We start from the raw sequence: 15,543 nt of genomic DNA, 5'->3' as shown, positions 1-15,543 counted from the left end.
GAAATGAATTTTCCACCAATGCCAGAAAAGGCTCAGAGCTGGCTGAGAATTAAGGTATGGGAAAGGAGATGGGAGAGATTCCATTCTAGTCAGCCCCTAGGAAGTAACTCCCAGGGAGCCCCCTCCCTGTCTTCCCCAGGGGTCTCCCCCTGCCTCCTATGATTCAGCACCTCACCGTGAGGGCATCTTGAGACTCTGGGGCCAATCAACACTGAGCCCAAACCAATATGCCATGAGGACCAAGCCTGGGCATTGCTCATTTCATGTTGGTTCTCACACAGACACAGATGGCACAGGTGCCTGTACAGGGAAACACTGTGGTCACATTTCTGCTCTCTCTAAGCTCCTACTGGGGACAGTCTGGCCTGGATCACACAGCTGCTTGTGGGACAGGCCCGGTCCTGACCCCGTTCTGCACAAAGCAAATCCCCACTCCCCACTGGGCTTTGCAGCCAGGCTCTGCTGACCGCCTCCTTAACCGTTCACCTGGCACCCCATCTCCCTGACTCCCCAAGTGGAGCCTCTTCTATCCCTCCTCTGAGACCATGAGAATGGACTGTGCATAAAGCCCTGAGAAATGTGAGCAGTGACCAGAGAAACACAAAATCCTGTTGGTTCTAGCCCAGGAGAGGCTGCCAGTTCTGATGGTGAGCCAGGACACAAGGATAGGAGAACAGGAAGCAGGAGGCAGGAAAAAGACCAAGAGAGAGGAGTGGCTGCCACCAAGGAAGCAGAGCGCTCTGACCAGAGTTCAAGATCCAGGGTTCGGGCAGGACTTGGGAGCTGGGGCCTGCAGCTGGAAGGAGCGCTCCAGAAGAAGGATTGTATCTCAGGGCGGGAACACACACACATCAGCGACAGGAGATAGCACGTCAGCTGGGATGGAGCTGCTGAGCCAGGCCATGCTGGGCTCCTCGGGCTGGGCAGGAACGTCTGGCTGCACATCTGTCTGTCTCGGCCCAGCAGGGCTGACTCCCGGGCTGTGGCAGTGTCTGCTCCAAACTCCCCTGAGCCTTCCCATAGCATTCACTGTGGGGAGCTCTTGACCAGCTTGTCTCTTTCCCAGCCTGTGAGTGCTAAAGGGCAGGCCCCCCGTCACCTCTGAGGCCCTGGCACCCAGCACAGTGTGCATGGGAGATGCTCAGGAAATGTGTGCTGAGGAGCTGGCAAGCTGGGAGGGTGGACCCGCAGTGGAGGGAAGAGTTGGCCATTCTTTTCTGAGCTACAAGGAGGCTCAGTACAGTATCCAGAACACTCGCTTAGGTGTCAGAAGAGCTGCGTTCTGGCCCTAGCTCTGTCACAAATGAGTTCACCTCCCCTGGCTGGGCCTGTTTTCTCTTATGTGAAATGAGGGCATTGGACCAGCTGATAATCAACGGCTCTCCCAGCATTCGCATTTTGGGAAATCTCTCCCTCCTCTGATACCTCAGGCTGCCCTCTCCCTGCGTCCTGTGGGCCAAGTCTTCCCCACACCACAAGGGGGAGCTCTGCACACGCCCCAGGCGAGCGCCTGGCCTCCAGCCCACTAACCTGCGGGAACAGGTGTGGTGGTGCATGCATGCTCCCATGAGGAAGGCTGTGCCTTCTCAGACACAGAACTCCAGATGCCCAGCCACCAGGCACACCACAAAGTGGCCGTGCACACAGAGGTGTAGCGTAGAAGTTTTGTGTTGGAGGATGTCTTCAGCTTCTTCTGGCTAGCCCCCACATCCTCACTGCTCAGACCCAGTCCCAGAGACAGACCACGACCTGCTCTGGCAACATTCCCATGAATACTCCTTGACATTCCTGACCTGCCTAATTTCTGGGGAAGAAAGAGACTCACCAGTAGAATTTGAATATTTTAATTTGGGAATGACTTAGAGGTCCAGATTCCTCCCCTCCACCCCCCCTCCCCCAATAAGTTCCCCTCCTCTGGCCAGAGCTTCATGAGAAGCCACATCCTGGAGCACCAGGCTCCACAGATAAGTCCCCAGTGACGTCTCAGGCCAGACTGCTGTGTAGGGCTGGGGTGGGGTTTGGCGGGCTGGGGGCTAGTGAATCCCAAGGAGACGTGTCTGGGCTCCACTGTCCTCTCTGGCTGGCTGGGCCTAGGAGCCAGGTAGCCCCAGAGTCACTGCTGGTCCCCTGTGAGGATAGAGCCAGGTAGGGACCCACATCAGGATGGGTAGCTAGGGTGGGGAGGGCATCTCCTCTCCACAGAGCACAGGCACTCACCCTGGCTGGCCCCGGGTGCCATCTCAGTCCGGTAGATCTTGAAGGCATCATAGGCAAAGATGGAAACCAGGATGATGCCAAAAACCTGTGGGAGTGGGAGTGGGGATGGCAAAACAGAGGCTATAGGGCCATTGGGTTAAGGTATAGGGTGAGGTGCAAGCCAGAACCCCAAGTCCTGGCTGTGGCTTCTGATACAGAAAGTGTGCAAGCACCAGCCTGAGCTCTTGAGGGGCTAAGGAGTCCTGCAGGGCTGAACTCACAAAAGCAGCAATGGCAGCTCCGTCCCGGGAGGTCACAGCTGCAAAGGAGACCACCAGGAAGATGATGATGGCACTGACACAGCGCAGGAAGTCCTGGGGGCCAGGGGTGCAGGGTTAACAGGACCTCAGAAGGCAGGGGGCGTTACCCTGAAGTTTTCCAGGCTAGCCAGCAGCCCGACCCTGAGGGATTCTGAACCCCTCCATAGGATACCCCTCACACAATATGAAGCACATTCAAGAGACAGAGCGCTCACACTGCTACCCAGGGAGTGGAAGCAGATGAACCAGAGCAACCAGGACCAGAAGCCAGGCGCTGGGGCTGGAACCCAGGGGACAGCGGCTGGAGTATGCCAGCCCGGGGGGGTCAAGCCAGGCCAGGGCTGGGGCTGGACCTTTGCTGAGTGGGAGAGTAGATCTAGCGGATGTGGTCCTCCTGATTGCCCGTGGCCCTGCAGCTGTGAAATCAGTGTGAGTCAAAGCACACCTTTGAGTGCAGGGCATAGCATGGGACAAAGCCCAGCTGTGGTGTGGAAATGGAAAGAAGCTCGGGGAGGAAAGGAAAATGCATCATTTAGAGGAGAGGGAAGGGCCCCAAACTGGGCTAGGGGTCAGGGTTCCTCACCAGACAGGGCCAGTTAATTCGGTCGAAGCGCTGGTAGTACTGGGTGGCATAGAGGAAGAGGAAGGCAAGTGTGATGAAGAACTCCAGTAGCGCCGCGGCCATGTAGGCAGAGATGGAGGCCGTGAAGCAGATGAAGATGATGAGGGTCAGGGCCTGCAGGACCGAGCATGTGGAACATGCCAAGAAGGGGACACAGGCAGGGGCCAGGGCTTTGCCTTCCCCTCCTTGGAAGCTCCCCTAGGCTGGCACCTACTACCTGTCCTTGGAGGGGAGGAAGGACTCTGGCACATCTCCCTATCCCCTGGTGTCAGGAGCCACCGTTGCAGGGCATTTGCCGGTCAAGGGCAGTCTCCGGCCTCCCACTCTGCTCACCCAGCAACCCCAGCAGTCTGGCCAAGCCATATGGCTCCCAGGAGCACTATCCCACAGTAATTCATAGGTACAGTGTGAATGCCAGCCCCTGGAGTTGTGCCCACAGAGACCCGACTCCACAGGGACCAAGAGGAGCCCCCTGCCTCATAATGCTTTCCCCACCCCCAGATGCCTGAAAGCCCCCTGACAAGGACCAGAGCCTTTGATTCCATGCCAAGAGAGAAGGCAGATGCTGCCCAGTGGTTTCTGGGAGCCCCTTTAGCTCTGATGACCTAGGGTGGCATACGTGCAGAGGCCTTAACTCTACACTGTGGTCTTGCTAAGTAACCAGGGGAAGATCCTTTCCTGAGAAGAGATGTTTCTGGGCAGCAGACCACAGATAAAGTGCAGTTGCAGGAAGTCTGCCCTTTTTGATAGTTAGACTTCTTGGACGTGCTGAGAAGTGGCCATGTTAGAGGCTGTCATTGCCCCTGTCCCATCCCTATGTCTCAAGCTTCCTCAATGTCCCAAAAAGTCACCCTGTCTAACTGCAGTCCTTCCTGCTGCAACTGAAACCTGCTGTAAATGTCTCCGGGTGGAGAGGCAGCAAGAAGGCAGAGTAGGAGACGAAGAAGGGGCAGCTGCGGGCAGGAGAGGTGTCCAGAGGGCTTGGGGAAGGAGGCTACTGAAGGGTGAGCTGGGGGCTGGCATAAGGCTGGCCAGGAGCCGGGGGTCAGGGAGATGGAGGCACCAGGTTGGGAGGCAGCTGTTACCAGCTCGGTTTCCAGCAGGATGCCCTTGTGGGAGGTGAGGAAGGCCTTGTCCACCGCGAAGCCCTGGAGCTCTGCAACTACCCCCTCCTCAGGGTGCCGGTCCCGGCGATCTCGAGCACTGAGCATCTTCGTAGGGCCCACCAACACAGCCCCCTACTGCCAAAAGCCCAGCAAGAGAAACAGAAATCTGGCAGGATGGGGAAACAGACAGGAGCAAGAAGGCACTTCGAGAAACCTGAAAGTGAAGCAGGAGGCTTGCCCACAGGGCCCCGGGAGAGAAGGCAGGCGCTGGGGGCCTTGCCCAGATGGGCCCTCACCCAGCTGCCCAGAGTGCCTCTGCTGCTGCCTGCACCAGCCCCCTAGAGACCCATGGGGAGGGGCAGAGAGGAAGGAGGCTCTAATCCCTCCCCTTGCTTAGAGCCCAACCCAGCCTGGAATAGAGAAGGAAGGGGAGAGGAGGAGGTCCGAAAAGAAACTGGGAGGAGCTGGGATGTGAGTAGAGGAACAGGGGCAGGACTGGGAGCCCCCAGGGACCTAAGCCTGAAGACATTTGTGTCCCCCTTCTCTAACCTTAACCCTCTTGTTTGGCCGGTCCTTTCTCCCATTTCCTTTTAGGGAGGGTGTGAGCTGGAGCCCAGCCCAGGCAGCACCCCCAGGACCAAGCTGCAGCAGCCAGGACTGGAGGACAAAGGCGGATTGTTGGGGGACAAGGGGGCGCTCTGTGCCTGCTGCAATGCCTCAATGGGCCTCTGTCTCTCCAGCATGCCGGGAGCGCGGCCTAGCCCCCACCCTGGTGTTTGGGATGGGCCAGGGAGACAGAGATGGGAGAGGACGGGAGGGTGCAGCGGAAACTCTGGAGGGCGGAGAGAGCTGGCAGGGTGGACAGAGGTGAGGGCCAATGGTGGAAAGGAGAAGGGACAGGCTGGGAGACCGCGAGATGTTCAGGCACCACGGATGCCAAATACAGATTAGGCCATTTTTAAATAAAGATATTTATTTGGATAAATCTCTATACATTCAATAACAGCTTCCTCCTCAGAATCATCCATGTCAAAAGACTAGTAACTACACTAGAATGCACCCAAAGTAGATGCTCACTGAGTGATGAGTAAACAAACAAATAAAACCAGGGGCTCTTTCTTCTCCAGCAAGGGGGAAATATCTAGAAAGTGCCTGTGCTGGGCCAGGGTAGCAGGGGATGGGAAAAGAGGAAGAGACAGGAGTGGTGGCCTCCAGAAATGGGCAGAACTTTGAAAACCTTTCCTGAGAGAAAATGACAGGACACCAGCTTCCGGCGGCCCTAAGCAGCAGCTGCTCTTTTCAAAATGTGCAGAAGTGCAGGCTTTCCCCAAAGCCCCCCATCCTGTCCCGGGATCCTGCTGCTCCAGACAGCACTTCACAGGGGCCAAGCATCTGGGCATCCTGGCCCTTCATGGCAAGTGGTTGTACACCTGGCTCCAGGTTTCCCAAAAAGGGACCAGCCTCCAGCAGGTCCGGCTAGCCCATCACACGGGGCCGCACACACACACAAGCTAAGGAAACACGGTACAGCCTGCGCTCCAGGCAGTAGCCCTTGTGGGTGCCCTTCTCGCCATGGCATGGCCGCCGGTAGAAGACAGTCTGGTTGTGGTAGAGCAGCTCCGAGTTGCCCCGGGGGTCCATGTGGGAGCCTGTCTGTAGGCTGACGCAGTGCGGGCACAGGCAACGGGCGTGGTACAGGTCCTGGGGGAGCCGGTTCAAGTCTCTGTCCAACCTGTGGGGGCGGCACTTGTCAGGCCTTGGAAAGATGGGCCGGAAACAGAGAGGGTGGGGTGGCATGGGAGTGCCAGAAGAAGGAAATGGTCCGTCTGGGGCCTTGGCCTCTTGTCTCAGTTCTGAACCCACTTGCTGTGTAACTTTGAACAAGTCACCTCCCTCCTTTATTAAATTTTCCCCACTGTAAATGAGGGTAGCAGGTGACAGAGTGCTTTCCAACTGGTCCTGGGACCGTGAGGGAGGCAGGGGAGGGTGAGCAGGCTCCTGCCTTAGCCTCCATTGACCAGCACTGCTTCTATCTGACTCAGCATGAGGTTTCTTATTGTAATGATTACACTTTAGGTGTTTTTGTTTGTTTTTTGATTTTTTGTTTTTGTTTTTTTGAGACGGAGTACCCAAGCTGGAGTGCAGTGGCACGATCTTGGCTCAACTGCAACCTCTACCTCCTGGGTTCGAGCGATTCTCCTGATGCCCGCCACCATACCCAGCTAATTTTCATATTTTTAGTAGAGATGGGGTTTCATGATGTTGGCCATGGTTGGCCAGGCTGGTCTTGAACTCCTGACCTTAGGTAATCCACCCACCTCGACCTCCCAAAGTGCTGGGATTACAGGCATGAGCCACCGGGCCGGACTTTAGGTGGTGTTTCTATTATTATTATAGCATTATTGCAAAAGTAAAAACCACTCTGACATCCAAGTATTAAAGAGTATAAAGAGTGAAAGTTAATAGTCTCTCCCTACCAGCCCCACTCCCCAGAAGAAGCTATCCTCAACTATTTCCTGCACATTCTTCCAGACGCTGTGCAAGCTTATATTATAAGCATACTTGAGAGTGCATGGGAAGACTTATTTACTTATTCTGAAAGGATTTCATGGCAAAAAAAAAAAAAGAAAGAAAGAAAGAAAGATGAAAAACACTGAAAAGTAGATGTCCCACAGGTCTGCGACTCCATTAGTCTGGCAGGCGACAGTCTCCAGCTTGTGGGACCATTCCCCACACAGACAAGCCCTGGCAAATGGAATTAGCTAGCACATCACTTCCCAAAGTGGGTTCCCTAATAAATCACCTGCACCTGTTGGGTGCTTAAATGAATTTGGGAAACACCAGTTTAACGGTTTACTTTCTACAGACTTCTTGCAGACTTTAATGTACAATGACAGTATGAATCTCCAAGGGGTAGGAGATACAGCAGTCTTTCCCAAGTTTACCTGGCATCACTTTTTTCTGAGAAGCAGCTCATGGGATGAGCATTGCACAGAACACACTTTGGGGAAAGCCACCTGAGTGGTTCTCGGGTTCACAGACTCCCAGCAAGGGGTCTGGAAGACAGCTGAGTTAACCTCTGGCACCCGCCTCCCCTAAGAAGCTCCCATGCCATCTGATTTGGCCCAGGACCCAGCCAGCTTCTGAGACCACTCCAAAGAGTCATGACCTGTAGTGTCCACACTAGATCCAATCTCAGTTAGATCTGACCCCCTCCCCACCACTGAACTTCTCCATCTACCCCCAAAGCCAATGCTAAGACAGAACTAGAAGGAAGAAGTGAAATCACATGTCTGGAATCCCTAAGACCCTAGTTTTTAATATTTTGCTTCATCATTCATATTTCAGCACTTCCTAATATTTTTCATATCATGGCACAAATAGAGAACTATAATATTTATGTGGCACACTGAGTGAAAGAATACAGTACCCATGATCATGATCAAAGATATCCAGTCCACAGCTCCAGCCAGCCAGCTGCCCCCAAAAGTTAAGGGTTTCACTCCTTTAGTATGCTTATAACTAACCCATTCATGGCCAGGGCAGTATCAATTGGTATTGGGATGCTTCATGCCTGTATCATGCCATTATTCCCTAATATTTTACCCAGAAAAAACATGGGCCATTATAGGGATGTTTTAAAAGAAAAGGAGAGAACCAACATAAATACAGACTTTTACATACATTATATTTCATTTGATCTGCACATTAGCCTATGGGGCATTATATCATTTTGCAGGTGAAAAAAAAAAAAACCCTGAGTTTTGAAAACTTGAATTGACTCAAGATCATCCAATGAGAGTCAGAGCTAGGACTCAAATACAGACCTTGTCTAACTCCCAAACCTTTACAGCCCCTCTGAGATCAAAATGGGAAAGTAAGCTGGAATTGCCCTGGTCCCTCACGCATACCCTGGCCAGCACACACAGGGCAGGCATTCGGGAGGGGCAGCAGACTCACTCATATCTCCAGGGGGAGATGGCCCTGCTGTTGAGGGGTCCATCTTCACTGGCCCTACAGGACTCTGGGTGGCGGTTGGGCCTAGCAGGCTCTAGGGGAGGCACAGGCACAGTGCTCCACCTCAGCAGCTCCTCAGAGGTGTCCTGCCCTTTGCTGGGGCAGCAGCTGGGCCAGTGGCTGTAGGTGTGGGTTCCCATGACCATTGCCAAGAATGCAACCACCTGTAGGAAAAGGCTAATGAGAGAACTGTCCTCACCTAATCTGGGTCGCTCCCTCATCTGCACCCTCCCCCTGGGATCCCAGTTTCTCACTCCACTTGGCCCCCAGCCCCAAACCTGGCAGCTTGGCCTCCCTCCACCCTCAGCAGCATCTCTGCTCCTCTCCCTCTCAGCACAGCCCTCAGGCAGCCCTCTGCACTGACCTGGTACATGCTGGGCACTGCACACTCAGTCACAAGTGGGGCACTGACTGACAGGCCTCGTGGAAGCAGGCTGACTGGAGCAGGTTAGGAGTCCTGATTTTATTTTCAGCAAGCCTGTTTTGTTTATTCAAATTTATTTCCACTGTCTTTTTAGGGAGTGACTTGAGGTTAAAAAACAAAACCAAAAAAACTCTGAAAGTATTTCCAAAGGCTGCTTAAAATGCAATACTCATGGAAGTTGTGATGACCATCATTATATGCCTGGTAGCTGATTGGGTAAACTTTGCTCTTTGAATTTTTCTGGCCATGGGGTCAAAGCAATAACAGTCTGCTGTTCTGCATTCTTGTGAACTGGCATTAGCGGGATTTCCCTGGTTGGTTTGGTAGCCAAAATTAGGAAATGTCTTGTGGCCTCCCTTCAAGAGGCCTCGTTTCCATGATCCCTGCTCCCCCCATCCAGGGTCTGGTTTCACCATTCCCCTCTTCCCAGGTGTCCCTCTGATCATCCACCTTCGTGATTATTTCCTTTCCCTTAGACATCCTTTGACTCCCATCCCCTTTGTTCTCTGACCTCTTCCACATTTTCAATGACCCCAAAATTCTATGACCCCCATCAGCTATGACTTCTCCCCCATTGTCCATGACCCACTCCCTAACTCCCCCTTGCCCTCGCCAGTCACTGCCCCCCACCGGGGATACAAGCCTACCCTCACAGGGCTGCTGGAAGACCCTGACTTCCTAAGTTTGTTGGCTGGATGGGCAAGGTCTGATGGAAGAAGCTGTGGGTGAGTGTCCCCATTGCACAAATGAGAAGGTGAAGCAAGGAAGAGGAGGGAAACTGAAACAGCCTCACCTAAGACCCAACAGGAAGGAGGTCTCAGTTCCAGGAACCAACCTGCTCTCATTCACAGAGCCTTGGGGACCAAGCCCATGACAGGGTCAGCTACTGCTTTCAGGCCATGAAGTGAGCCCACTCAGCCTCAGCAGGTCCAGAAACATGGGCCACTGTTAGCCAGGAGGGTGTATGTGTGCCCCAGAAAGGCTTACAGTTGGGCTTGACCCCAAAGACACAGGTCAGCCGGGTCCAGCCTGCTTGGGAGACACTGTGCTGAGAGTGGGCCAGTGTGTCCTTCCCCCCAGGTCCTTCTCTTCATGCTTGCCTATTGGCCTGCCTCATCCCCCATACGCACCCAACATACCCATACACAGACATTGCCCCTAGAATGATGTGGCTTGATTTGCATGTGCTTTCCCTTAGAAAATACTCCTCTAGTAACCAAGGACTAGGAAATCAACAAAGGGAACCAGGAATAACTTAAACTGCAGTGAGAGGAATCTTTCCAATGCGTTAGGGCAAAGCAGCCCCAAAAGAGAGAAGTGATGAAGTCAAAGGGCAATCTGGAAAATTGGGAGAAACTGCTCTGCTCTGATGAGTCTTGGGGCACCTGGAACTGTGGGATGGAGGGCACTTAGAAGAAGCAGGTGGTGGCTGGGAAAGCAGGGGCACTCAGGAACAGTGATGAGGCCAGTATCATGGCCCCACTCTCACTGCCTCACCCTCTGCCCCCAGTACTCGCAGACGTCCTCTCCCTTCCATATCCTGCTGGCCTCAGCTCCTGTGCACTTACATGTGCCAGGCATGGTGCTAAGCCCTGGGCATGCATCATCTCATTTTATCCCGACAATGAAACCATGACATGGAAACTATTATCCCCATGTTACAGATGAGGAAACTGAGGCCCAAGGAAATTTAGTAACTTACCCAAGATCACAAAGAAAGAGGCTGAGCTGGTTTCCCATTCCAGCTCTGACCAATTCCACATGTAACCTCCTGGCATGGAAGTGCCACACCGTGCCTACCCCTAGTTGGCTGTGAATGGAAGGGGAGCCCCACAGTGAATGCTTTCCTGCTCACCTGGGCTTGGGTTGGGACAAGTTTCAACTGCACCTGCTGAGGGCCACAGGGTGTGTCTGCCCACTTAGGTATCCAGCCCTGCTGTTCGGATTCACTGCACTAGCTCCCTTTCCTAGCCTTTTGTCTGGCAGACATGGCCTCAAGGTGGCTTCCCGTGCTCCTGGGAAAACCTCAATCCCAGAACAGGATCTTAGGAGGCAGTGCCGTTTCAGAAGAGCTGGATACCTATGGGTCTCGCTCTCACCAATCAGAACCTCAGGGCTAAGAAGGTAGTAGAAATGGAGTTGGCTCAGATCTCCTATCTTGACCCTTGCCCAGGAGGGGGTGTTCAAAGGAGCCAGAAGTGATCCCAACTACCTGTTTCACTTGCTGACGCTGCAGGGAGGACCCAGCCTAGGTCACCAGGAACGTTGCCCTTCAGAAGAGTCCTTTGGGGTGTCCCTCTAGGACAGAGGGAGAAACCCTCCAGGAAGGGTTGGCTTTTCCCACCCCCATGATGACCAGGACTGACCTGAGAACCTGTGCTCTGAGCCACATGCCCCCACCCCACCCCACTTGCTCACCCTCTGTCCTTATCTCAGTAGCAGCTTTGTGGGACTCCTTAGGGTGACTCCCTGTCATGAGAAACATTTTCCAGTGGGGTTTCCTCCTGAGGTGACTAGTTTTGGAATCCCTGAGTCACTTCAGCTTCCAGGGAACCCTTGGGGGTGTGAGGATAGGGGGGTGGCAATGGGGAGAAGGCTGGAGGCAGGAACAAAGGAAAGTCTGCATGGCACATGACATCAAGGTCCCCTCCCAGCACGTCTTCACCTGCCTAGGCCTGACCTGGCAGTTGAAGAGAGCTTCCTGGGATTCCTGTCCCTGTGGCCCTGAGGAAAGAGAGAAGCACCTGCTAGGAAAGGGCAGGGAAGATGTGGTGGAATACACTTCCCAATCTTGGCTTGGAAAGGCTCTTGGGGCTTACAGAAAGTGAGAATATGTCTTCCCCGCCCCTTCTCAGGAAGATATGCAAGTCTCCACCTGCTGCCTTGAAGTCTTGGCCCTGCCAATGACCAGCTCTGGATCTTGAGCCCTCTCTCTGCTCCTCCCTCTTCAATTGTAGAAGTGGGTGGGTTTGGGTGGGCGGGGATTGGGGGGAACATTGACCTGGATGGTCACAAAGGTGCCAACCAGCTTAGCTGCTCCAGACCTCAGCTCCTGAAATAGTGCTGAATCCACAGGACTCAGCAGGGTCTACTGAAGCTCATCGGCACTCACTGTACATGAAGCTAAGGCACCGAACATCAAAATGTTGAAATACTTCTGCTCCTGCTGGTAAGTAGATGCTTCCTTCAGCCTTGGGACACCACCTTACCATACTTCCCTATGATCCAGCAACTAAAGGTTGAACACCTGGCACAGATGGAGGCCCCCAGAACAGTGCTACCACTTTCTGATTGGTAGATGATAATGGTTTAGCTACAAAAACGCCTAGGCTCAGGAGCAGCCTTCAAGGAGAACCCAGTCTAGACCCTGGGAGACACATGGAGAATCAGAGTTAGCAGAACCAAGAACCCAACAAACCCATGTCTTTAGTCCAGGGCTGTAGCCTTCCCCAGGAGGCCCCTCAGCTTACTCGGCTTTGTCCTATAGTCATGGCTGCCTTCGTTCACTTATCCACTCACCAAATATTTACTGTGCACCTACTGTGTTCCAAGCACTATTCTAACAGCTAGAAATGCAGGGGAGGACAAGCCAGACAAGGTCCCTGCCTCATGAAGCTTACGTTTTAGGGGGAGACAGATTATAAACAAGGAAACAAGATAATTTCTGATAATAATAAGTGCTATGAAGAAAATGAAACAGCATTATGAGATAGGGAGTTACTGGGGGTGGGGGAGAGGAAGGCAGGGCAACTTTAAGTTGGAAAGCCAGGAAAGGCCTTTCTGAGGATGCAGGATTTCACCTGATGACAGAAAGGGTCTGGGGGAAGTAGTTTAGGCAGAGGGGGCAGGACATGCAGAGTCCTAGAGGTGGAAAAGAGCATGGCATATTTGAGAAACAGAAAGGACAGTGTAGATGTTGAACAAGAGATAAGGAGGAGAGGGAGACAAGATGAGGTGAAAGAGGTGGGCAGGGAGGAGATCACATAGGGTCCTCCAGGCTACCATGGAGCATTTGGATTTTATTCCAGAGTCAGCCGGAAGATATTGACTGGATTCAAGCATGAGCTACATGATATGTTTCTTGAGGGCAGGCACCATGTCCTTGACATTCTAGTGCCACCACAAGGCCATCACCAAATAACAATAATAGTAGTTGCCTTTGTCCAAAATTTACACCTCATGGGCCTGATACTGTTCTTGGGATTCCCTTAATCCTCATAACAAGTAAATGCTAAAAGTTCAATTAACATTCCCACTCTACAGACAAGGAACCAGAGGCTCCAGGAAGTCACAGAACTTGGCCAAGGTAACTAGCCAGTGTTAGAACCAGGATTAGAACCCAGGCAATCTAGGTGCTATGGGTCCAAAGAGAGGAGAACTGAAGAATTGGTGAGCACCCAAGAAGTTTTGGGTAGCAGGAGAAACAAGGAGAGGTCCAGGAAGTCTTGGGGTCAGGTGAGGAAAAAACCAGCTCATTGGACCTGCAGGGAAGGGGAAAGAATGGGAGAAAAGACTGGGACCCGGGAAGCCAAATGGAGGGGTTCCTTCCCTTCTTCTCCCTGAATATGGCAAGGGCAAACCTTGAAGACCCACTGCTTGAGGCTGCCACCCACCCAGGGTCTCAGCTACCTGCCAAGCCTGGGTTTTCTCCAACCTCACCTGCCCTCAACAACGAACACATTCAGCTTTCTGGAAAGCACAAGTCAGAGGGGAAGCCAAGGTAAAGAGGAAAAGCCATGGAAGAAGAGCACTGTGCCTGGCAATCTACATAAGCTTACTCCTCACCAAAGTCACTGCCACAGAGGAGGACCTGAGACTCGGATGCCCTATAACTGGACAAAGGTCACACAGCTAGTTAAGCAGGATTCACTTGTGACTCTGACTGGCTCCATTCCACACCTGGATATTCCAGAAGCAGCCTTATTTCCCACTGGTCTGTCCTCTGCTGTCCCTCTTCTACCCTTCCCCGGGCAGGGAAACTGCCTGCCCATCTCCCAAGCCAACCCTTGCCTGGTCCTAGCAGTTTCCTTCCTCCTTAGCCTTTTCTGGCCTCCATCTATTTCCCCTCGTGCCAGTCAAAGCATTCATCTTTGAAGACAGGGTTTCCTGCCCACCTCCACCTTGGACCCCAATTTGCCTTGGCAGTCTCCTGGGCAGAGATCACACCAAGTCACTCGCCAGCAGCTGGATATCCGTGTGCCTGGCAGCCAGGTCCCCCAGGGCTGGGGTCTGGAAGAGGTTGGAAAATCTTCCCTAGTGGCCACCTCTAACCTAACTGGAGCTGGGAAGCAGGAGCTCTCCCTGGAAATTTAAAAGTTCCTCTACCATCCCAGTGGAGTTGGAATCTATTCAGGAGTCTTCCATCATGGAGAGCCAGCCTAGAGCCAACACAGTTTATCCCCATCCCCATGTTTATCCCAGAATCTCTCCCTATTCCACCCCATAGGCTCCACCACACCCTTCCAGCAGAGGTTTCTTCACAGGTGCCCAGGTAATACAGTGGGGAAGGAGCTGGGGCAGGTGTCCTGACCACACTCTCCTAGGAAATGCCTAGATGTGTGGGCCTGTGGAATATTGAGGCAAGGTTATCTGTCCAGGGCCTCAAGTTCACCAAGGGCCTTATATTACATTTCTGATCTTGTCTCCAAATAAGGTTATGCACAGAGTCATTCTCTATTGTATGTGTTTGAAGCGTTAATTTGTTCAATGTAAACATCCAAAATATACCACAGCTTTCAATCCTGTTTGTCATCTTGCTTTTTAAATACCAGGAACCTCAAAAATGGAAGAAGGCAGGCTTCACTCAAGCCTGAGAGGCCCTGATGTGTGTGTCCCAGAGGGAAGGTCCAGGGAAGCAGCACACACTAAGGAGTTATCCCAGGGCAGAGGAGCTGTAGGGGGCTAGGAGCACCATCCTTTCAGTGGAAACTCCTGGTGGGGCTAGATCCCATCTCCTCTGGAAGAGTTCTAGCAACTTTTGTGCCAGCGGTCCTGCCCAATCCTCTCCTCATAGCAGCAAGAGTGAGCCAGGCTGAGGAGGCCGACAGGCCCAGACTGGCAGAGGAGTGTAAGAGGCCGCACAACCTGCCCGCCTGCAGTTCTGGGGCCAGACGCCCTGCTTCATGTTGTCACTAGGGCCAGAATCCATGTCCAGCGCCAGACTCCCCTCCTGTGCCCCGCAAGAACGGCCCAGCGAACCCTGTGTAGGGGAGGCGCCGAGGATTGGAGAGGCTCTGCTAAGGGCCCCGCTGGGCGGAAGGCGCGCGCTCCCTCCCATGGGAAAGACAGATGTGGGGCTAATGAAAGGGAGGCCGAGAGGCGCGGGGACGGCCGGGGAGACGGGGGCGTGGCGGGGAGAGGAAAGCTCCCGGAGAAAGCCGATCGGACCACCGCAAGCGAGGCATGCAGCGGAGTCCGGAGGAGGAAGGCGCCGGGGACTGGGGCAGGGCCAGGGCGGGACGGGGGTGGGGGGTGTGGGGGGTACCACAGGCAGTTGGACCCGAGGGTCCTGAGCTGAAACTCAACACCCGCCTTTGGAAGGATCGTCCCTCTTTCTCCTCCGCCCCTTCCCTTCCCCTCCCCTTTCCCCTCCCTCCTTTCTCTTAATCCCCAGGACGGAGCCCTGCGCGGGAGAGGAGAGGGCCTGAGGGGAGGAGAAAGGAACAGCACTGAGAGGGGCCAGGAGCCCAGGAAGGGGAGGGAAGGGCAGCCGCGGGCCAGGGGTGAGCCTGCGGGCCACGCGCGACCCCCGGAGCCTTCGCAGCCCTCTCAGTGTCCCCACTCCCAGCCCAGGCGAGTCCACAGGACCCGGGCCCCTGCTCCTCCCTCGCCTTCTCTTTGCTCCTTCTTTTGCTTTGT

The 15,543-nt window shown here is 53.8% G+C and overlaps 2 protein-coding genes across 9 annotated transcripts, besides 1 other annotated feature; both read right to left on the bottom strand.

The window, feature by feature from the left end:
* Positions 1,537 to 1,606: an enhancer, noted in NCBI's record as "active region_8171". NCBI's record gives its function as "activates an Ori minimal core promoter by ATAC-STARR-seq in GM12878 lymphoblastoid cells {active_cell/tissue: GM12878}" and the evidence as "EXISTENCE:reporter gene assay evidence [ECO:0000049][PMID:35858748]".
* On the bottom strand, positions 1,829 to 4,830 carry CMTM5 (CKLF like MARVEL transmembrane domain containing 5). 7 transcript variants are annotated; one of them, XM_047430907.1, is made up of 6 exons: positions 4,541 to 4,830; positions 4,224 to 4,410; positions 3,100 to 3,252; positions 2,478 to 2,570; positions 2,218 to 2,302; positions 1,829 to 2,127 (listed from the first exon to the last, which is right to left on the bottom strand). In XM_047430907.1, the coding sequence occupies exons 2-6, from the start codon at positions 4,347 to 4,349 to the stop codon at positions 2,114 to 2,116; spliced, it is 471 nt and encodes a 156-aa protein (XP_047286863.1). In that variant the 5' UTR covers positions 4,350 to 4,410; positions 4,541 to 4,830; the 3' UTR covers positions 1,829 to 2,113. The 7 variants fall into 7 exon arrangements, with proteins under 7 accessions (XP_047286863.1, XP_047286862.1, NP_001275675.1 ...); XM_047430906.1 differs by having other exon boundaries at positions 4,794 to 4,830; NM_001288746.2 differs by adding an exon at positions 2,732 to 2,932 and having other exon boundaries at positions 4,224 to 4,555.
* Positions 4,831 to 5,197: 367 nt separating this feature from the next.
* IL25 (interleukin 25) lies at positions 5,198 to 8,792 on the bottom strand. 2 transcript variants are annotated; one of them, NM_172314.2, is made up of 3 exons: positions 8,626 to 8,792; positions 8,205 to 8,425; positions 5,198 to 5,976 (listed from the first exon to the last, which is right to left on the bottom strand). In NM_172314.2, the coding sequence occupies exons 1-3, from the start codon at positions 8,632 to 8,634 to the stop codon at positions 5,721 to 5,723; spliced, it is 486 nt and encodes a 161-aa protein (NP_758525.1). In that variant the 5' UTR covers positions 8,635 to 8,792; the 3' UTR covers positions 5,198 to 5,720. The 2 variants fall into 2 exon arrangements, with proteins under 2 accessions (NP_758525.1, NP_073626.1); NM_022789.4 differs by having other exon boundaries at positions 8,205 to 8,792.
* Positions 8,793 to 15,543: the final 6,751 nt, after the last annotated feature.

This window comes from Homo sapiens, chromosome 14, assembly GCF_000001405.40.
Source record: "Homo sapiens chromosome 14, GRCh38.p14 Primary Assembly".
In the NCBI taxonomy this organism is placed as follows: Eukaryota; Metazoa; Chordata; class Mammalia; order Primates; family Hominidae; genus Homo; species Homo sapiens.
Note: the sequence above shows the minus strand (reverse complement) of the source record. Positions and strands in the feature narration are given on the sequence as shown.

What these genes read in the sequence shown, in the direction of transcription:
- CMTM5 (NM_001288746.2), bottom strand. Translation starts at nt 4,349, where the DNA reads ATGCTCAGTGCTCGAGATCGCCGGGACCGGCACCCTGAGGAGGGGGTA. An exon ending in GAATTAACTGGCCCTGTCTG is followed by an intron (nt 2,933 to 3,099) that starts GTGAGGAACCCT and finishes CTGATTTCACAG; the next exon opens with CTGCAGGGCCACGGGCAATC. An exon ending in GAGCTGCCATTGCTGCTTTT is followed by an intron (nt 2,303 to 2,477) that starts GTGAGTTCAGCC and finishes CCACTCCCACAG; the next exon opens with GTTTTTGGCATCATCCTGGT.
- IL25 (NM_022789.4), bottom strand. Translation starts at nt 8,482, where the DNA reads ATGAGGGAGCGACCCAGATTAGGTGAGGACAGTTCTCTCATTAGCCTT. An exon ending in ATCTCCCCCTGGAGATATGA is followed by an intron (nt 5,977 to 8,204) that starts GTGAGTCTGCTG and finishes CCGCCCCCACAG; the next exon opens with GTTGGACAGAGACTTGAACC.